The following is a 22404-nucleotide window of genomic DNA, read 5'->3' as shown; positions in this document are numbered from 1 at the left end:
TTCAGCAGAGTGACCTTTAAAAAGAGAGAAAACAACAAATCTATTATGTTATTTCCTGTACAATACTGTTCATTATAAAGATGGAGGTAATTTTTTTTTTTTTTTTTGAGATGGAGTCTCGCTCTGTTGCCCGGGCTGGAGTGCAGTGGTGTGATCTCGGCTCACTGCAGCTTCCGCCTCCTGGGTTCAAGCGATTCTCCTGCCTCAGCCTCCTGAGTAGCTGGGATTACAGGTGCATGCCACCATGCCTCGCTACTTTCTGTATTTTTAGCAGAGATGGGGTTTCACCATGTTGGTCAGGCTGGTCTTGAACTCCTGACCTCATGATCTGCCTGCCTCAGCCTGCCAAAGTGCTGGGATTACAGGTGTGAGCCACTGCACCTGGCCAGAGGTAAAATTCTTAAGTTTAACAGGATCTTTCTGGTTTTCTAGCCTCATCTCTGTCCTCTTAGCGCCTTAGCTTCACTGGCCCTTTTTCAGATCCTTCACATGCCAAGCTCATTCTTAGCACAGGGCTTTGTATATGCTCTTTTCTCTGCTGGACACCTTTTTTCTTGGCATGTTTAATTTGTATTTATCTTAAGGACTTAGCTTATGTGTTCCTTTCTCAAGAAAGTTTTCCCTGACCTTCCATTTGCCTAAAGGTAGATTAGATTCCCTCTGAAATTATTAATAGTAATGATGGTAACAACAATAATAGCAGCAACCTTTGAGTGTTTATGAGTTGCAGAGACTGTTCTTAGCACTTACACATAGGAAGTTTTTTGGTTTTCATAGCAACCCTATGAGTTGTATAGGTGGGTAAATAAGTAGGACCTAGAATTATCTGCATCTTATAGATGAGGAAACTGAAGTGAGGAATGTTAAGTCACTTGTCCAAAGTCACACAGCCATTTGGTAGCAGAGTTGGAATTTGAACCCGGGCAGACCCCAGTGCCCACGTTCTAAACTGCTGTGCTCTACTGTAATGGTGAGTATAACTGTGTAATGTTTTTTGTTAATGCCTACCTTTGTTGGTAGGCTCTAAGCTCCTCGAGGTCAGAAATCATACCTGTCTGGTTAATTTCCATGGCCTAGGACGGAGCCTGGCATGGAGTAGTCTGTGACCGAGTACTTGTTCCTATTGAATGAATCACAGCTTGCCAGTCTACTAAATTGAGGAAATAGAGGGTTTCAGTGTGATCCTTTTCACTTTTCCTCCCCACTGCTTCCAAATATTAAACTCCCTTGGTTAAAAGAATAGGTGCCTGTACTTATTTCAAAATCTAACCCCTCTACCTGTTTGCCTTGTATATTCTAGGAGTAATTTATGTACTTCGTAAGAAAAATTAGTGCAGATGTACATAAAGTAAAGGTATACGTCTTCCATTTTTTCCTCCTTTAACGTTTTATACTTCCAGGTGTCAACTGCTAGTAGTTAAATCTTCTTCTGTACATGTACACATTTTGTGGACACTTAAAATACACAAGGGTAATGTATGTAGTATTATCTAAGTTTTTTAAAAATTTAATTTTGATATTGAACGATAGTTTCACAAGATGTCTCCATTGAGGGAAACAAGGTAAAGGGTACAGGAGATCTCTGTTGTTTCTTACAACTGCCTGTGACTCTACAATTATCTCTAAAGAAATGGTTAATTAAAAAATAAACTATAGAAATATTTTCATGTCAGCGTATTGACCTGTTTCTTTTAAATGGCTATGTAAAATGTTATTATATAGATGTGTATTACTTTATTTCACGTTTCCCCTATTGATGGACTTTTAAGTTCCTTCCATTTTTCATTTTCACCAATATTGCCAAAGGTGGACCATCCTTGAATTTGTAGGTATATCCTTGGTTGGTATATATGCACAGCCAAGTTTTAGAAGAGGAGATCAAAAGATGGGCATATTTGAAATGTTGGTAAGAGTTGGCCAGACCATCCTCCAGACAAGTTTATACTTTCGTTAGCAGGTGAGATAGAAGCTCTGTGTGTTCACCTGCACTGTCCTGATCCCATTCTGCCACTTCTTCTTGGGGACTTTATATCTATATCTATATCTATATCTATATCTATATCTATATCTATATCTATATCTATATCTATCTATATATTTTTATTATACTTTAAGTTCTAGGGCACATGTGCACAATGTGCAGGTTTGTTACATATGTATACATGTGCCATGTTGGTGTGCTGCACTCATTAACTCATCATTTACATAAGGTATATCTCCTAATGCTATCCCTCCCCACTCCCTCCACCTCACAACAGGCCCCAGTGTGTGATGTTCCCCTTCCTGTGTCCGAGTGTTCTCATTGTTCAGTTCCCACCTATGAGTGAGAACATGCGGTGTTTGATTTTTTGTCCCTGCGATAGTTTGCTGAGAATGATGGTTTCCAGTTTCATCCATGTCCCTACAAAGGACATGAACTCATCCTTTTTTATGGCTAAATAGTATTCCATGGTGTATATGTGCCACATTTTCTTAATCCAGGGACTTTGTTTTATTAACTAATCCTTTTCCATTTAATATATCTACTTCCCTGTTGGTTCTCTTCTGTCTCCTCATCCTGTAGCACATCCTCCAAACTGATAGAGCTTTGGTTGCTGTCAGTTCTTTTGTGCTGCTATAGGAGAATACCTGACACTGGGTAATTTATAAATAACAGAATTTTATTTTCTCATAGTTCTGGAGGCTGGGAGGGCACTGGCAGGTTCATTGATGGGGATTTGGTCTCTGCTTCTTAGACGATGCCTTGAATGCTGTGTCCTCACATGGCAGAAGGCAGAAGGGCAAAAAGGGAGTAACTCCCTCCATCAAGCCCATTTTTAAGGGCACCTAATTGCATTCATGAACGGAGGAACCCTCATGACTTAATGATGTCTTAAAGGCCCGACTTCTTAATACCATCACGTTGGCAACATCTGACTTTTAGAGGCGGAGACATTCAAACTGTGGCCCTAGCCAAGTCCTTTGTGTGCTTTTACTTATCTTTACAACCATCCTATGAGATAGTGCCTGTTTCTCTGCCTACTTGTTAAGCGATTATATTCTTCTGGATTTTGTCCTTGGCTCCTCTATCCAACCCACCTGTAGCCCCACCTTCTCTTCTGTTCCCTCATCCAAACCAGAGAGACCAGGATTTGAATCTGGCTCCATTATTTTCTCCCTAAGAGACACGGAATGATTTACTTTGTCTCTATGTTTCTGTTTCTTTCTCTGTAAGTAAGAGTGGGGAGACTAGAGCTACCTATCTCAGGATTGTGTGGAGTAAATGAATAATGTGTGTAAAACATTTAAAATAGTGTCTCATGTACACTAAGTGCTTAATAAATGCTAATAATAGGAATAGTAACAACAGTATAGTTACATTGTTATTATAAATCTGTATCTGTGGTACTCTTAGCTTAAGTTCGTACAAAAATATTGAGCTGCCTGTTAGAAATCTACATTTGGATGCCTCCCCAGATATCTTAAACTCAGTTTATCTAAAGTCAGAGTCTTTCTGTGGCTTCAGTGCTTAGTGACTGTGTCCGTGAATAAACTACTTATTTTCTTTAAGCCTCCATTTCTCCATTTATGAAAGGGTGATAATGAACTTATTTTATCAATATTAAATGAGATAATTCTTGTAAAAGTATTTAGCATAGTGCTGGTATATACTAATATCTTAATAAATATTAGTTGCTATTATTATTATTCCTTTTAAATGCTGATCCCCTTTTTGTCCTGTTCTGCCCAGAAAAAGAGCCTCAGGATAGCTTTGCCTGTCTGCCTGTCTTCCTTATCCTTCATATGCAACCAGTCAGCAAGTACTGTTATTTTGTATTTTCATTTTAAACATCTTAATTTTTATTTATTTTAAAATTATTTATAGAGATGGGGTCTCACTATGTTGTCTAAGCTGGTCTTGAATTCTTGGGCTCCAGTGATCCTCCCACCTCTGCCAAAGTGCTGGGATTACAGGTGTGAACCACCACACCTGGCCTATCAAGTACTGTTGATTGTGCTTCCGAAACATGTGCTTGCATCCAACCACTCCTTATCATTTCTTGACACAATTATTGTGGTAATCTCCTAATTGCTCTCCTGGCCTCTTGGCCATCTTGTACCTTTCATCCTGAGTTATCTTTATAGTAGGTAGATCTGCTCATATCACTCAGCAGAAAGGCCTCTGATGGGTCTCTCTTACCTGAAATATAAAGCCTCCAAGGCCCACTACACCACAGTCATCTTTAGAGCCTCCCCTCTTGTTCTGGGACCCATGGGTCCTACAGTATATGCAGACTACTGACTGTTCTGTGACTGCACCCTGTACTCTAAATCTCATACCTTTGTCCCTGACCTGCTGTTGCTGTACCTGCCTTCTTTTTGCTTAGAGGGTTGTCCCCTCAAGCACTCCCTGCTAATAAGCACTCAGCCTTCCACCCCAAACATCTAGTCTGTCTGGTGAATTCCTGGTGATTCTTCAGTGGTCTGTCTCAAATATATCTTCTACGCTCTTTTCTCTTTAGTCTTAACTGCCATCCAAGGCAACATTAGTTAGTCCCTCATTATAAGAGGCAATATAAGCTGGTGAGAGGTATATACCCACAGTCCTAGCTACTTGGGAGTCTGAAGCAGGAGGATTGCTTGAGGCCAGCCTGGGCAGCATAGCAAGACCTTGTCTCTTTGAAAAAAATAGAAAGAAAATGCTGGGTGTGGTGGCTCACATCTGTAATCCCAGCACTTTGGAAGGCCAAGTAGGGAGGATTGCTTGAGCTCAGGAGTTCGAGACCAGCCTGGGCAATACAGCAAGACCCCATCTCTACAAAAACTAAAAAAATTAGCTGGGCATGGTGGCACATGCCTGTGGTTTCAGCTACTCTGGATGCTGAGGGAGAAGGATCACTTGAGCCCAGGAGTTTGAGGCTGCAGTGAGCCATGATTGTGCTCCAGCCTGGGTGACAGAGTAAGACCTTGTCTCAGTGGAGGGGGTAGGGTGGGAGGGGGGAAAGAGGCAATATAGTGGTAAGTTAAAATCCCTGAGTTTGGAGCCAGACTGCCTTTGTTATTAAGGTAGTTGTATATAACTGGGATGAAACTGTTTAACTTTTTTGTGTCTCAGTTTTCTCATTTATAACAAATGAGTAATATTAGTCTTGCTGTGAGGGTTAAGTGAATTAATGTAGGGAAAATGCATTGAAAGGGCTTGCATATTACTAAGTACTTCATAAATATAGCTATTATTATTATTCTCAAAGCATTTCTTACATACTTACCTATAATAGCATTTGCCACTTTACTTTTTTTTTTTTTTTCCAAGACAGAGTCTTGCTCTGTTGCCCAGGCTGGAGTGTAGTGGCATGATCTAGGCTCACTGTGACCTCCGCCTCCTGGGTTCAAGCAATTCTCCTGCTTCAGCCTCCTGAGTAGCTGGGATTATAGGTGTATGCCACTATGCCCAGCTAATTTTTGTATTTTTAGTAGAGACAGGGTTTTACCGTGTTGGCCAGGCTGGTCTTGAACTCCTGACCTTGTGATCCACCCACCTCGGCCTCCCAAAGTGCTGGGGTTACAGGCATGAGCCACCGCGCCCGGCCTGCAGTTACTTTTTTGTGTATATTTCCCAATAGACTGTGGCTTTTTTGAAGGTGGGCTATTTTAATCATCTTTGTGTCATCAGTATGTAGTACACAGTGGGACCCAGTAAACAATCAGATGTGCTGTTTGTGTAGCCCAGAATAAAGTGCCAGGTCCTCCTGCATTGCAGCAGTCAGCAGCATGCATCTGGAAAGTATTGCTTTCTGAAACTACGGCATTAGAGCCACAAAGCTGTTTGGGATTGGACCTTAGCAAGCTCTTCAACCAGAAATTTGCTATTACAATGAAGCTTCCTATCTGCAATAGGTAGATTGTAACTGACAGCATGTAGTCATTGGAAGGAGGTTAATCCCAGAGCATAAGAGGACTTCTGATTTATTTTTGCTTAAAGGGATACAATCCAAGGCCACAAAGGCTGCTATAAGACTTTTGTTTTGTTGGGGATAATAAAGAGAGCTGTTTCTGCCTTTTCCACTTTCTTCTTATAAACCTGCTGAAGATTGAAATGTTAAAATGTGATTCAGAGAAGAGATTTCTTTATTGTAAACATGATAGAGAGCTCAGAATGAATGCCGGAGATAGACTCTTTATAGAGGATTTCAGGGTATTAAACTCTTAAGCCCCTTATGGTCAGGTTTTACTGCCAACCCTTAACACCCCACCATGCCTGGGCTACTGCAATAGTAACTGGTCTTTCTACCTTTAGGTTCGCTGCAGTCTCTCCTGCCTACTGCTATGATATTAATATTTATAAAGCCTTACTTTGACTTTTCTCATGCATTATAAAAAATCCTCGCAAAATACCCCATCATATACAAGGAAAGTTCCAAGTTTTAGCTTGTCATTCTGGACTTGTATTAGGATTCTCCAGAGAGAGAGAGAGAGATTTCTTTCCTTTCTTTTTTTCTCTTTTTTTTTCCCAGGGTTTCACTCTTGTTGCCCAGTCGAGTCCAGTGGCACTATCTTGCAAACTGCAACTTCCGCCTTCCGGTTTCAAGCAATTCTCCTGCCTCAGCCTCCTGAGTAGCTGGGATTACAGGCGCCTGCCACCACGACCGGCTAATTTTTGCATTTTTATTAGAGACGGGATTTCACCATGTTGGCCAGGCTGATCTCAAACTCCTGACCTCGTGATCCACCTGCCTCAGCCTTCCAAAGTGCTGGGATTACAGGCATGAGCCACCACGCCCGGCCTGGATAGATGGATTTCTGTAATAAACCTCTATAGGCCAGGCGTTGTAGCTCATGCCTGTAATCCCAGCGTTTTGGGAGGCTGAGGCGGGCAGATCACCTGAGGTCAGGAGTTTGAGACCAGGTCGGCCAACATGTTGAAACCCCATCTCTATTAAAAATACAAAAATTAGCCGGGCATGGTGGTGTGCACTTGTAAATCCCAGCTATTTGGAAGGCTGAGGCAGACAATCACTTGAACCCAGGAGGTGGAGGTTGCAGTGAGCTGAGATTGCGCCATTGCACTCCAGCCTGGGTGACTGAGGGAGACTCGGTCTCAAAAAACAAAAAACAAGGAAAAAAACCCCAAAACCTTCATAATAAGTTTCCATATCTATATCTATAGATATAGAAGAGGTTTATTTTATATATATAATAGATACATAGATAGGTATAAGAGGAGGTTTATTATGGAAGTTGGCTCATGTGATTCATGTGATCATGGAGGCCGAGAAATCCTATGATAGGCCATGTGCAACCTGGAGAACCAGGAAAGCTGGTGGTGTAATTAAGTTGGAGTCTGAGGTCCTGAGAACCAGGGGAATCAAGGCTGAAGGCCTGGGAATTGGGAAGGGGTGGTGTGCTGGTGTAAGTCCTGGAGTCCAAAGACCCAAGAACCAGGAGCTTTGATGTCCAAGAGTGGGAGAAGATGGATATCCCAGCTCAAGAAGAAAGAGTGAATTTGCTCTTCCTCTGCCGTTTGCTCTCTCTGGGTGGAAAAGGGTAAACAGATTATGACGCCCACCCTCATTGGTGAGTGTGGGTCTTCTTTATTTAGTTTACTGATTCAAATGCTAATCTCTTGCAGAAATACCCTCAGAGACCCACCTAGAAATGTTTTATCAGCTGTCTGGGCCATTCCTTAGCTTAGTCAACTTGGCACATAAAATTAACCATCACAGGACTCTTCTGCAGTCTGACTCTGGTTACCTTTTCTACCTTATCTTCCACTATATCCTAGAATGAGCTGTGTAGCTTACCTGGCCTAGTTGTGAGTCCTATAATGTGAATTGCATTTTATGTTTGTATCTACCCAGAACATTTTACCTTTTGAAATTTTGCCTCTCCTTTAAGATCCATTAAAAAAAAACTATTTATTTATTTATCTGTTTATTTATTTATTTAATTTATTTTTTTTGAGATGAAGTCTCACTCTTGTTGCCCAGGCTGGAGTGCAGTGGTGTGATCTCGGCTCACTGCAACCTCTGCCTCCCAGGTTCAAGCGATTCTCCTGCCTCAAGCCTCCTGAGTAGCTGGGATTACAGGCGTGTGCCACCACGCCTGGCTAATTTTTGTATTTTTAGTGGAAATGGGGTTTCACCCTGTTGGCCAGGCTGGTCTCGAACTCCTGACCTCAAGTGATCTGCCCGCCTCTGCCTCCCAAAGTACTGGGATTACAGGCATGAGCCACCACACCCAGCTTATTTTGAAATAATTATAGAATCATAGGAAATTACAAAATTAGTACATCGAGTCCTGTATACCCTTCCCCCAACTTTCACCAATGGTGATATCTTTTTGTGTGTGTGTGTGTGTGTGATGGAGTCTTGATCTTGTCGCCCAGGCTGTTGTGCAATGGCGCGATCTCAGCTCACTGCAACTTCCGTCTCCCAGGTTCAAGCGATTCTCCTGCCTCAGCCTCTTAAGTAGCTGGGATTATAGGTGCCTGCTACCATGCCCGGCTTATTTTTGTACTTTTGAAGAGACAAGGTTTTGCCATGTTGGCCAGGCTGGTCTCAAACCCTGACCTCAGGTGATCCGCCTGCCTTGGCCTCCCAGAGCATTGGGATTACAGGCGTGAGCCACTGTGCCCGGCTGCTATCTTATATAATTATACTATAATATAAGATCCTATTTTTTTTTTAAGAGACAGGTTTTCGCTCAGACGCCCAGGCTGGAGTGCAGTGCTGTGATGCTAGCTCACTATAAACTTGAACTCTGGGCTCAAGTGATCCTCAGGAGGAGGATCCTAGCTCCTGGGTAGCTAGGACTACAGTCACGTGCCACTATGCCTGGCTAATTTTAAAATTTGTATAGAGATGATATCTCGGTTTGTTGCCCAGGCTGGTCTCAAACTCCTGGCTTCAAGTGATTCCTCCACTTCAGCTTCCAAAAATGTTGGGACTAGGTGTGAGCCATTGCACCTAGACTGATCCATTTTAAAACTCTATTTTGAATAAAATTTTCAGGGGTAAAAAAGGTTTTTTTCTTTTCCTTTTCTTCCTTGCTTCTTTCTTTCTTTTTTTTTGAGATGGAGCCTTGCTGTGTCACCTAGGCTGGTATGCAGTGGCGCGATCTCGGCTTACTGCAATCTCTGCCTTCCAGGTTCAAGCCATTCTCATGCCTCAGCCTCCCAAGTAGCTGGGATTATAGGCATGCACCATGATGCTTGGGTAATTTTTGTATTTTTAGTAGAGATGGTGTTTCACTGTGTTGGCCAGGCTGGTCTCGAACTCCTGACCTTAAGTGATCTCCCGGCCTTGGCCTCCTAAAGTGCTGGGATTACAGTCATGAGCCACTGCGTCCAGATGGAAAGTATCTTTTTAAACTTTATATCCCTCCCTAGAATTTATCCCCTAATATATGGTGTTTATGGAGGTGGTTGGAATCAACTACTTTTTATAAATATATTATTAAAGAGTTGACAACCCCTAAAAATCTTTTAGATGCTAGACAAAAAAACTGAGAGAAATCATGAAGTATTTTTTTAAAAAATTTTTTGAGATGGAGTCTCACTCCAGTGACAACCCAGGTTGGAGTGCAGTGGCACGATCTCAGCTCACTGCAACCTCTGCCTCCCAGGTTCAAGCAATTCTCCTGCCTCAGCCTCCTGAGTAGCCGGGATTACAAGCGTGCGCCACCACGCCCAGCTAATTTTTGTATTTTTAGCAGAGACGGGGTTTCACCATGTTGGTCAGGGTGGTCTCGAACTCCTGACCTCATGATCCACATGCCTCAGCTTCCCTAAGTGCTGGGATTACAGGTGTGAGCCACCATGCCTGGCTAGTCATGAAGTATTTTAAAGGACGTGGGTTCTGACACTCTTAAATTCAATAGGCCAAAGTTCCTGGCATTTTTTTCTTGGATATGTACCGCATAGACCTTTCTTAGTAGATACTGGGAGAAAGAAGTTGGTTTAATAATGAATTAATGGGAAAGTTTTTTTTTTGAGACGGAGTTTCGCTCTTATTGCCCAGGCTGGAGTGCAATGGCCCGATCTCTGCTTACTGCAACCTCCGCCTCTAGGGTTCAGGTGATTCTCCTGCCTCGGCCTCCCGAGTAGCTGGGATTACAGGCATGCACCGCCAAGCCCGGCTAATTTTGTATTTTTAGCAGAGATGGGGTTTCTCCATGTTGGTCAGGCTGGTCTCGAACTCCCAACCGCAGGTGATCGGCCCACCTCGGCTTCCCAAAGTGCTGGGATTACAGGCGTGAGCCACCGCGTCCAGCCTGGAAAGTTTTAATTGACCTTATGTCTGTATAATTAAATGTATTTCATTAACTTTTTAAAGGTAAATAAATCTGGGGTTTCATCTAAGTGTCAAAAATATGATTTTCACCAATGGCCTACTTATTTTTGCCATTATTTGCATAAATAGCTTTCTGGTTTTTCTCAAGTTAACCTGTATGCTTGTGATGTGAAAGTCATAGTATGTATAAAAAATAGTACCAAGATGAAGTATAGATGGTCATTCTGAACCATTATTCCTTAGCAGAGTGAACTATATTTAAGGTTTTAGAAATAAATCGTATTTCCATGTCTGAATAAGACCTTAGTCTTATTTAAATAAATGTAGGGGAGATGGAGAGAAAGAATAAGATTTGCCTAAGAATACTAATATTAAGATGAATGGCAGGTAGGACACACTGAGGCTGTCAGGCATTGTTCTCAGTGTTTTACATTCACCATCTTGCTTCATCCTCACAACAGACTTTATCATTTGATTAGAAAAAAATCAGTACGATCTAGATGTTCTCATTGAATAACATTTTTTCATAAACAATTTAATTTCATTTAATTTATATTGTTACTATTTTTTATATAAGTAAATATGAGGTCTCACTATGTTGCCCAGGCTGGTCTCAAACTCCTGGGCTCAAGCAGTCCTCTCACCTCGGCCTCCGAAGTGCTGGGATTACAGGCATGAGCCACCACATCTGGCCCTGAACTATTTTAATGCAACAAGTATTTACTGAGTTCCGATAAATGAACCAAGTCTGGTGCTTTAGAACCATGATCTCAAACTGGAGGACATGTCTAAGAATATCTAGGCTTGGACTGTTTTAAGAGAATAAATTTCCAGATTCTCTATATTTTATTTATACTCTTTCCTGAAATTGACTTGTTTGAAGGCAACACTGATATAATGCTAGTCCACCTTCCCTACCCTCCCTTTAGCCCTGTGCCTTCTTATGATTAACAGAAGACAGCCATACCTTTCACCCATCTTGAATCTCACCATTGTACCTTTCTATGAGGTATAAAATCCTCCAGGATTCTAACAAAGGGATAGTCAAAACACTAGTGTCACGTGTGAAACTTCCTTTTATCAAGGTATCTTCCTCCATACATCTTATTAAGAGATGCATCTCCAAAAAAGGAAATTACTTTTTATGTTTAGTTCTCAAAATTTGTAACATTTGCATTGTCTTCATCGATTGTGTTTTACTATAATAGTAACCATACCACAATCCAACATAAATAAACAATAATATACATGTTTTCATTAAGGAAAGTATGATAAAAGTTATATTAAATACTGTGGAAGAAGCAGAATAGAAATACAGTTTCAGGGAGACCGATAAATGGCATAGCATTTTATATAGGAAAAAAAGATTCTGTTACAGTTTTAAAATATAGGATGGGGGATATCAGATTGCCCAGGTGTTTAGATTTTATTGGAATTAGTGATACAGTAGGGTTTTTTGTTTGTTTGTTTGTTTTTAAGACAGGGTCTTGCTCTGTTGCCCAGGCTGGAGTGCAGTGGTGCGATTTTGGCTCACTGCAGCCTCTGCCTCCCAGGCTAAAGCAATCCTCCCACCTCAGCCTCCTGAGCAGCTGGGACTACAGGCGAGTACCACCGTGTGTGACTAATTTTTGTATTTTTTTGTAGAGACGGGGTTTTGCCATGTGGCTCAGGCTGGTCTTGAACTCCTTGGCCCAAGTGATCCACCTCCTTCCACCTCCCAAAGTGCTGGGATTATGGGCGTGAGCCACTTTGCCTCACCAATATAGTAGGTTTAATAGCTTTAAAATTAGCAATATAATAGTGTTTTTAGGTGTCAGTTCTAAATAGACATAGATTGATATATAAATGAAAATATAACCTTTGCAGTGATTAAAACTTGTAATGAAAATTTTAGATGTCAACCTAAGAATATTCAAGGAGACACCTTTTTCCCCCCATTAAATTTGTTTTAGCAGGTATGTGAGCAAAACTTTTGAATAGTGCCGCAAAGGATATAGAGATCAAGAAGAAATAATTTTTGCCCTCAAGATGCTTGTTAGTTAAATGGTGAAGCAGGGGCATAGATACATGGTTTGGCTTAAATAAAGCCTTAATTGTGTCATGGTATTTTGCTGTTTGCTTAACATGGGCATTGTGCCTCAGTGTTGTGTCATGCTTGTTAAAATGACCCTTGAGTGGTAGTTTAGCTCATATGTGCTGTGTTACCACATAGGCTATTGTGCAGAACAGTGAGGAATTGTATATTGTGAAAGACAGATGGATAGGAACAGTGCCCACTGCACTTACCACCAATGAATGGTAGGGCTTTCTCTCATTGTCTAGTTGATGTGATCATAAAAAACATTAGACTGGAAGTCAGGACACCCTAATTCTCATCCTGAGTCTGCCACAGAACGTATGACCTTGGCTAAATCATTTAACGCATTTGAACTCTAGTTTCCTCATATAAAAAAAGTTTAAACTGGATGATTTTCTACCTGTGAAGTTTAGAGTTCATACATTTTTACACAGTATATGCGTTTTAGAAGGGATAGGTGCAGCAGATTTTAAGAAACAGATGCCAAAATAATGGAGTAGATTACTTACTGTAATATGCGGAGAAGAGTAGCTTACTAATTATTTATCTAAGTGTGATTAGGACAGTCTGTTATATGGCTTGTCGTAAGTGTTGTGGGTCTCACCACTGCCCTTTTTATTTAAAAAGAGAATTTCCTCTACTTTTGAGAATTAGAACAAATACTACACAGGATTAGTAAGCGAGAATACCAATTTCAGCTTCATGCCAGTGCCTCTAGTGAAAACCACATTTTTGCAGTGTTCTAGCAGAATATTAAAATGGCTTATGGATTACAGACAGCTCAGGCTTTGGTCTTTATAGGTCAGAGGTGGAAACCAACGGAGCAATTACCGTTCACTCTTATGGGCGGGGCTTCTTAGGTTCCTTATGGAGCTAAAGTGAAACTCTGGAACAGTTCCACTAGAATGGCTTTCCTGGGAGCTTATGAGGCTTACATTCTGAAACTGATACTCTTGTAGTACAAGAATAACTACAAACTGATGTGGAATTAGGAGGCCAGAGAGGGGAGAAGCCACATGTAGCTCTCATTCTCACAAGTCCTTTGGCTGGCGAACAGAGGTTTTTCCCGTCACTAAGCAGATATTTGGTTATATATTGACAAATCCTCTCTAAACAATTCTTAGAATAGAAGACTGATTCTGTCTTGTGCTTTGGAGGTGAAGGGGAAGAGCAATGTTGAAATGAGTGAAATTAGCTTGTGATGGTTTAACATCTGCAAATATCATCTATCTAACCAGTCTTTATCTCCTATGTGTGTTCTTAAATATGGTCCCCATTGTTTGAAGCCAAGAAAGATAACTGAGGAAATTCTATGGCTGATTTGCCGATGTTATTACCAATTATTTATTAGCCTTAGTATCGGATAGTTTGACTGATTTGCCATGTTGTTTTTTAGAAATGGGGGTCTTGCTCTGTTGCCCAGGCTGGAGTGCAGTGACGCAATCCTAGCTCACTGCAGCCTCGAACTCCTGTGCTCAAGTGATCCTCCTGCCTCACCTGTGAGTAGCTGGGACAACAAGCGTATACCACCACTTCTGGCTAATTTCTTTTTTTACTTTTTATAAAGACGGGGTCTCCCTATGTTGCCCAAAGGCTGATGATTTGCCTTTTTTAGGTAGAAAACCTGGACTGGGCCCTCAAGTTTTTAACTTTTTTTTTTTTTCTTGGTGATACAAAATGTGGGGTGAAGAGGTCTGTTAAAGTGACCAGGCTTGGTGCTATTTAAAGCCGAGGAGGGAAATACTGTTTCCTGGCAGGCTTTATTGTGTTTTTGTATTATTAAATCTCTTAAGTCAGCAGTTTACTTTTTGTCTAGTTGTATGTCTTGGCTTGTCTAAATGAATCATAATTAAAATTTAGTCACTGGGACTCTTAATCTTGTCTAAGCAGGAATTATAGTTTAGAGATACTATACCTTGCTGTGTATAGAATAAGAAAAGTATAAGTCTGCTATGATCACTGAGATGGGTTTTTATAAGTACTAAACTTTTTTAGAAGCATAGTTTTCTTTATCACCTGTCCCCCAGAAAGTTTAGAAAGTGAAAATTAAAAAGTAAGTAAAAATAATGGTATTGGAGTTATAATTTGGAAATTTGTTTCATTCACTTGCATTTTAATATTTATTATGTAAACATGAAATGATAAATTTGTTTCCTTTGAAAAGATTCAAGAAATAGAATAGTTTTAAAAGTAGTCTTTTACATTCCTTTGCTTATTGACAAAATCATCATCAGGAACATCGATTCAGGGAATGAGGCTTCTGATCCATCTCAAAACGAACATTACTAATATTTGCTATGGTCATTTGACATAAGTTTTTATTGAGTCAGAACTATACTGGGGCAGTAGCCTTCAAGCCAGTTAAACATGAATTAAGAACTTGTGTGCCAGGTACTGCACTAAATGTTAATGGCATAAAGGTGAATAAAACATCGTTTATACTGTGTTTTGTTTCACACAGGATTTGAGATGGCTGACAGAAAGTAACTAAAGTGAGATTGTAAAATGTAACTGAGGTTCAGAACCAGGGAAAAGATAAATTAGATTTGGAGGCCTAGATATGGTTAAATAATTAATTAGACATGAAACCCTATGGCTGAACAGTTCAGTTGAATGTTGATTTTAGTAGTGATATGATACAGAAGCTAAGCTTTGTTATAGTCACGCAATGTTGAGGCATGGTTAATATATTTAGCAGGATTATGAAGAGTTCAGGCATTTTTTGGAAACTCCTATGAATATGTCATCTAGAATTGGTTTTGTAAAATGGTAGTGCTTGTACTGTTTAGTTACATGTGTTGAATATCAGATGGATTTCAGTATTTTTTTAAAACTTTGCTTAAGCCTCTTAAGCCTCATTGAGTGGGGAGACTGCAGTGTAAGTATCCAGGCTGAAGACTGAACTTCCACCTTATTTTTATGTGGTAATGAGTTTTTGTTTAGATGATATATATGTTTTAATGTTGAGATGGAAAAAGTAGAAGTGAATTGCAGTGTAGAAACTACTCTGTTTCCTTTTTTATCTATTTTTATTTCAGTCATTAAGCTTTCCCCATCTTTAGTCTATTGAGTTGTTTCATGGCACGTTCGGAGGGATGGTGGGAATGCCCTTTGCTGAATCAAAAACTACTGTTTCTCCAACTTCACAGGTTAGAGAAGCTCATCAAGTCAATAATTTATAATTTTAATATGGAAGCTGTTTTGGGAACTCTTGTGGGCATATCTTGGTTTTAAAAGAAGAAAAAAGATTTACTGATTTAAGAGGTATATAAACGCAGCTTGCTGACAGTAGCTTTTGATTTTATTGGTTCAACAGATATCATTGTTGCACAATACATAATCTTTCACTGTGGCAGCTAATGAGATACAAAACTGCATAATTGCACCAACAGTTATTTTCCTTATAGAATTTGGCGGCTACTAAGTAAACAACTTTTAAAATTTATCTTAATTGGTTTAGTTATGTGCCATCATTGAATGAGTCTTAACATTTTCCTTCACGCTGTTGCACTCCACATTCTTAGTTGAACAGAGAAAGATATTATTTTAAGGGAGGGCTTGATCTTTTAGCATTTTAGCCAGTTGGCTTTTCTTAATTAGGATGATTACTCATATTTAGATGAAATCTAACTGAGAAACCACAGCAAAATGCTTACTGAAAACATTCGGGTAGTCAGTGTGGAGGAAAGACTCCTGGAAAATAAAATGTCTCAAGGTTGTTTTGAAGTTTATCCTCATTGTTTTTATTTATCCTTATGTGTGTTAAGTATACGAGGATTCCTGGTTGTACTGGTATTTTGGCAAAGTCCTGTACTGTTCCTCAAATGCTTCTAATGCAGACACTGACTTTTAAGAACCAGACACATGTAGATGTGCAGCGAGACAACACTCTGGCCTTTAACCATTGTGCCTCCTTTCTTACCTGCGAATTGCGTTTACTAGCGTATTTCACATTTCAGCCAATAGATCTAAAGAATACAAATGAGAACATATAGGACCTGTCTGCAAATAGGTTTTAACTTCCAGAGATTAGAAGTAGCTGTTGAGAGCACTGTGGGTTTAGTGAGAAAGAGTGCTTTGGCAGAATGGGCAGTGTCTACTGTAGGCTAAAAATGGGGGAACTATAGCATATCATGAGCCTTCTGTAACCCTCGAAGTCAGTTATTAGCAGTTGAACATGCTCTTTGGTCATAATGGCAGTCCCCAGGCTCCAGATAATAATTTGAGCAGGGAGCTGGGAGAAATAAGGAGGACATGAGTACATGGGACAAAAGTGGGCCAGTAAAGGGAAAATTACATATGAATGGAAGAATAGAGAATGGAAAATGGTAAACTGGAGAGAAAAAGATGAAAAAGACATGAAAAAAAAGAGTAGGGATAAACGGGCTCTACCTGTTTCCTTTTCTGATCAGTAAAGGAAAATACTTCTTGAAATCCTTAGGGCATCTTTGGACAAGGAAATCAGAAGTAATTCAAATTGTATTGTTGTCAGAGTTTAGTCTTAAAAGTTGTGTTGCCAGGTAGAAAACAAAGCATGATAATCATTTATAGAACTCCTTTAGTTGGTTTACTTGCCTCTTAGGGTAAAAACAAAATTAGACTTCCAGAGTAGTCTGTGATCTTGGAAAAGTCTTTCTGAAAAATGATTATAGAACTGTTAAGACATCTCCCATCTCATCTCATATGGCATCATACTTTTCCCAATTATTTTCAGATATTTTAGCATCAAAGTTTTCTAGAATGAGTTTTGTAGAACACTAGTATCCCTCATTGCTTAAATATATTAGGAGGAAAAGGATTTTTTTTATTAAATAAGTTTGGGAATATATAGAGTGGACAAAATTAGTTTTAAAATTACAGGTCATTTGAGAGGTCTTGAAGTACCAGTGTCTTGTGGATCCCTGAAGGGCTAGATGAGGGTGGGGCATGTAGCCTTTCTCAAATTTATGTGACTACCATACAGTTTGAGGAAAGCTGGTCTATATAAATGCATTACCTGTGAAACCTGGCTTTCTTCCACATCTCCTCTGACTTGCTTTGCTATTTTTTTCCCCATCTCTTACAGTACTTCCTGCTATCCCCCAAATTGGGGGAATTCTTTCTTTTTTCATTTTAAAATATGATATTCTGGAGATCTGAATTCTCTCTTTTTACATTTTTATATGTGTATTCCACTTTGAGCAATATTAATACTAGCTTACATTTTAAAATACGATATTCTGGAGATCCAATGTATAACATGAGGGCTATAGTTAATAATATTGTATTGCACTGGGATTTTTTTTGAGAGTAGATTTTAGTTGCCCTTGCTAAAAAAAAAAAAAAAAAAAGGAGGCAGGTAACTGTGAGGTGATGGATAAATTAATTTGCTTGACTATAGTAACCATTTCACTATATATAAGTATATAAAAACATTGTGTTGTATACCTTAAATATATACAATGAAAAAGAAAAGAAAAGAAAATATGATGATAGTATTTATATGTGAACTCTTTATTTGGATCTTTAAGTTTCTGGATAATCTGGTCCCTAATCTTATCTACATTCCCAGGTTTATTCATCACCAGTCTTCCATGGTAAGTCTTCACTTGAGCTCAATTTACTATTCCATGATTATATTCTGTATGTGGAATGTTCTCCTCTACTTTTTGTATTATGGTCTGGCTCAAGTGCACCTTTTCCATGAGACCTTCCCTGATATCTTTAGCTAGAAGTAATCTCTTCCTTGGCACATCTGTAGCATTTATGTACTAATACCTATAGTGTTATTTACAGATTTATTTGTGGTTATTTATGCACATGTCTTAGATTTCGAGCTTCAGAAGAGAGGGAATAGCATGCCATATCACCCAGAAGCTTGTAGCTTAGCTATTGCCTAGTAACATTATTAACAGAGTAATAATGTCAGCTAACATTTGTTGTTTACTATAATAAATGACGAGCACAGTTCTAAATGCTTTAGATAATTAATGTAGTGAAGAAGTAGAGTAACTTACTCAGTCACATGCTCAGTTAGTGATGGCGCCAGGATTTGAACCTAAGCATTCTTCTGCTCTTTATCACTATACAGTACTGCTTGCTATGATAGGTGCTCAGTGAGATTTGAATGAACAAATGAGCAGACAAGGCTTTGAAAAAGAGGGCCCATCATCTGTGGCTCAAGCTCATAAGGCACTTTCTTTTCCCCTTTTCAAAGCTGACATTTATCATTTATCTAGCCATGTAATGTTTTCAGTGACTAAGAACAATTAGCTAGAGTTCAGGTGGGCTGTGGGAGTGGTAGAGATGAGTGTGTGGGGAAATGTGTTTAGTCACTGTGTTTATTTTATTTATACACTAGAACCTGCTGCTATCCTTGTTGAAGAAATAGTGGTGAGTCCAGGCTTTGGAGTCAGGAAAACCTGGATGGGAGTTTCAGCTTCTTCATTTATTAGCAGTTTGGGCAAGTTTCTTAACAGTTGTAAACCGTAGTTTTCTTCTTTGTAAAATAATAGTAACTACTTCTTTAGTGTCTATGTGAGGATTAAATCAGATGATCATGTAAAGCACTTAGCTATAGTACCTACTACATATTAAGTGCCCAACAAATGTTACTTATGATACAATAGGTTTTACTTAACATAAAATTAACTCCTAATTTCTTAAAAAAATATGTCTTTTGAATGTGGACCTTTCGATTTTAGTCAGCTAAAGCATTAAGTCTGTTTTCTTCCACTCCCTCAACTTCATAGTAACATGTCTGTTTATAATATGCAGTGAGAATTGTAGTGTACATTGCACCATTTATACACTGCAAACATCATACATTAGTAACAAGTCTGTCATGAACTGAGTTAATTGTAGGGTTTGTTCTGAACATTTTCTTGCCAGGCATGGTGGCTTACGCCTGTGATCCCAGCACTATGGGAGGCTGAAGTGGGAGGATCACTTAAGTGAGTTCAAGACCAGGGCAACATAGCGAGACCTCACCTCTACAAACAAACACAATTAAAAAAATATATTTTTTCATTGTTGAGCTTTATTTTCGGTGTTTGTAATATGAAGACAATAGGTATCTTTTTATTTATCAAATAAGGTTTATTAATTATGCTTTTTCTTTTAAATGACAGCCTTGAGTCAACTTTTTCTGTCTTTGTGCTAAGAATTACAGTAGTCTCAACGTAGAGCCGAGGTGATTCTGATCTAAAGATGCTCCGTGAATGTGCGATATTTCTTTTTCTTTTTTTTTTGAGATGGAGTCTCACTCCGTCGCCCAGGCTGGAATGCAGTGGCACAATCTCAGCTCCCTGCAGCCTCCGCCTCCCAGGTTCAAACAATTCTCCTGCCTCAGCCTCCCGAGTAGCTGGGATTAGAGGCACACACCACCATGCCTGGCTAATTTTTGTATTTTTAGTAGAGATGGGGTTTCACCATTTTGGCCAGGATGGTCTTGATCTCCTGACCTCAGATGATATGCCCGCCTCCGCCTCCCAAAGTGCTGGGATTACAGGCATGAGCCACTGCGCCTGGCCGCATGTGGGATATTTCGAAGAATCTTAGCTTTGATGCATCTGTGGGGAAGAAATGAGTGATTATTAACAAAGGTAAAAGGAGAGGAGAGTCATTGCAAATAAAGAATCTTGTAGCGGCCAGGTGCGGTGGCTCACACTTGTAATCCCAACACTTTGAGAGGCCGAGGAGGATCACCTGAGGTCAGGAGTTCGATACCAGCCTGGCCAACATGGTGAAACCTCGTCTCTACTGAAAATACAAAAATTAGCCAGGCGTGGTGGCGGGTGCCTGTAATCCCAGCTACTCTGGAGGCTGAGGCAGGAGAATCGCTTGAACCTGGGAGGCAGAGGCTGTGGTGAGCCGAGATTGCACCACTGCACTCCAGCCTGGGAGACAGAGCGAGACTCTGTCTCAAAAAAAAAAAAAAAGTATCTTGTAGCAGTTTATTCTAGGCCAGAGCCACAGTTTGTGTTGATTTGGCTAGAAATTATTAAAGTTGGTATTCTGTGAAATTTTGTTTGAGTGGTTCTTTGTTTGGTTGAGCGGGTTCAGATGAGGCTGAGAAAACAGGAAGATTGTGCTTGGAAGAGGGGGAGAAGGCTTCCTTAGGCCAAGGCAGGTCAGTCATTCTATAAGGAGAGTCTCTATACAGGATGTTTCTGCTTTTAAAAATATGGTCTGATATGCAAATTCACTTATCTAGTGCAAATGATTCTGGCAAAGGTTTCTACTTTCTTGATTCAGGAATAAGACAAAAGAGTTTTCCACCCCATAGTACACAACAAAAAAGAGGCATTATAAAACTTTTCAGAACTACTAAAGTGGTATGATTTTATGATTTCTTGTTGAATTCAGCATTTGAAAACAGAAGAAATGTGAAAACAGAGGAAAGGTGCTTAGCATAGGAATTAACTTGTTTCTTGGCAAGGAAACCAGGGTCAGGTGTTTGAATCACTTGGCTTTGTGGTGGTTCTGTTGGTTTTTGTGTGTGTGTTTTTCTTCTTCTGCTGGATTATCATCTCTTTTTTTCTGCCTTGGAAACTGTTGCTTTATCTAGGGCAATCACCCCACTTACACAGGAGGCAAATTCAAAGCTGGTTGCCTTATGTTGTTAAAAGCTGTCAGATTCACATCCTTTGCCATATCCTTCTTCAGGAGTCAGGACAATGAAGACAGGAGTCTAAACATGGGGCCAGAGTGAGCTGCCCCGTCCTCAGTACTAACACCTATTCCTGACAGCTTAAGTTGCTTCTCAGCCTTAGTGAAGCTTTCTCAGCTATTCTGGCTCATGATGATCATTCCCTCCTTTGAACTGAAATAGCCTAATTGTCTCTGAGTCATGTGGCAATTAGTCTTGTTTTGCTTTCTGATATCTCTTGTAGTTGACTTTTATTGTTAATGTATGCTGCTTGAAGGCAAGGGCTGTTGTGAATTTATTATATTGCTATATATTTTACAGAGACTCTTGATTTTTCCCTGGTTTACCTTGGGAAGTTTTCCTGCCTCTTAAATGGCGAGAGGATCCTTTAGAAGATTTCCTAACTCTCAGAATCTTTTAGATTTTTCATGTCATGCTGTGTTTGCTATGGCCTTGAAAAAGCAGTTTTTCCCTTTTTTGCAGCAGACACAACCAAGATTCTGGATAAAGACCAGGCAACACAATTTTCCTAGAGTAATACTTACCTTGAGTAGTTTCTTATGGGGAAAAAAGCCCCCAATATTCTTAGGCTTAATTTCTATGATCAAATATTTTAAAGATAGAAACAAATGATATATAGTAGTTAGGTATGGGGGCAGGCAAACAAGCAAAATGTTAAGATCTTGCATGACTAATTAGTACTGTATAAAACACATTTAAATTTTGTTGTACCCATTCTTACATTAGAAATGAATTGATTGATTCATATGGTATTGGTTTTCCTTTAAGGGATTTATTTCTTAATGAATCAGAGGTTTCACATTGAAAAAGAATCTGCGTATTTTTATATACTATCCCAACTTTCATCTGAGTTATTTCATGTTTTTCATTGCCCCATTGGAAACCGTATTTTGCCGAAGAGTCATTTAATATATTTTTCACACTGGCTTTGATTTGGTGACATGTAGCAGTTCTGGAAGAATTAACGATATGTTAACACAAGTTGACTGTGATAGAATAATTACAATAAATATGCCTATTTTCCTTTGGGGAGAAAAGTCTAAAATTCTGCTTTATAGAAGCTATTCTCAGCTCTAAAAGAGCATATATGTAGATCTTCATTTCTTTTCTTCTAACAATTTTAGGGGAAAATACAAACCTTAAGTTATTTCCTGAAATATTTCCCAGGATGATTACTACCTTGGATTTTAAGGCTTCTTTCTTCACAAGTTCTGACTCTTCTATAAGCACAATCAGAATGGTCAGAATGCTGACTCTCCTTTAGGTAGTCAGAATGGGTCTTCCAAACCTTTGTATGAGCCCATTAGCTGCCTCAGCTTTCCCTCAACTTTCAGGAAAACACAGGTTACATATTCTTTACGTTACTATGAGAAACTACCTACATTATTTTTTTTTAAATTTTATTT

The 22404-nt window shown here is 39.5% G+C and overlaps 1 protein-coding gene across 15 annotated transcripts in view, besides 1 other annotated feature; it reads left to right on the top strand.

The window, feature by feature from the left end:
- The window catches only part of SIK3 (SIK family kinase 3), a 255027-nt gene that overhangs the window by 39802 nt on the left and 192821 nt on the right, over positions 1 to 22404 (top strand). The window lies entirely within an intron of this gene.
- Positions 265 to 314: a silencer, noted in NCBI's record as "silent region_3928". NCBI's record gives its function as "represses an Ori minimal core promoter by ATAC-STARR-seq in GM12878 lymphoblastoid cells {active_cell/tissue: GM12878}" and the evidence as "EXISTENCE:reporter gene assay evidence [ECO:0000049][PMID:35858748]".

Source organism: Homo sapiens, chromosome 11, assembly GCF_000001405.40.
Source record: "Homo sapiens chromosome 11, GRCh38.p14 Primary Assembly".
In the NCBI taxonomy this organism is placed as follows: domain Eukaryota; kingdom Metazoa; phylum Chordata; class Mammalia; order Primates; family Hominidae; genus Homo; species Homo sapiens.
Note: the sequence above shows the minus strand (reverse complement) of the source record. Positions and strands in the feature narration are given on the sequence as shown.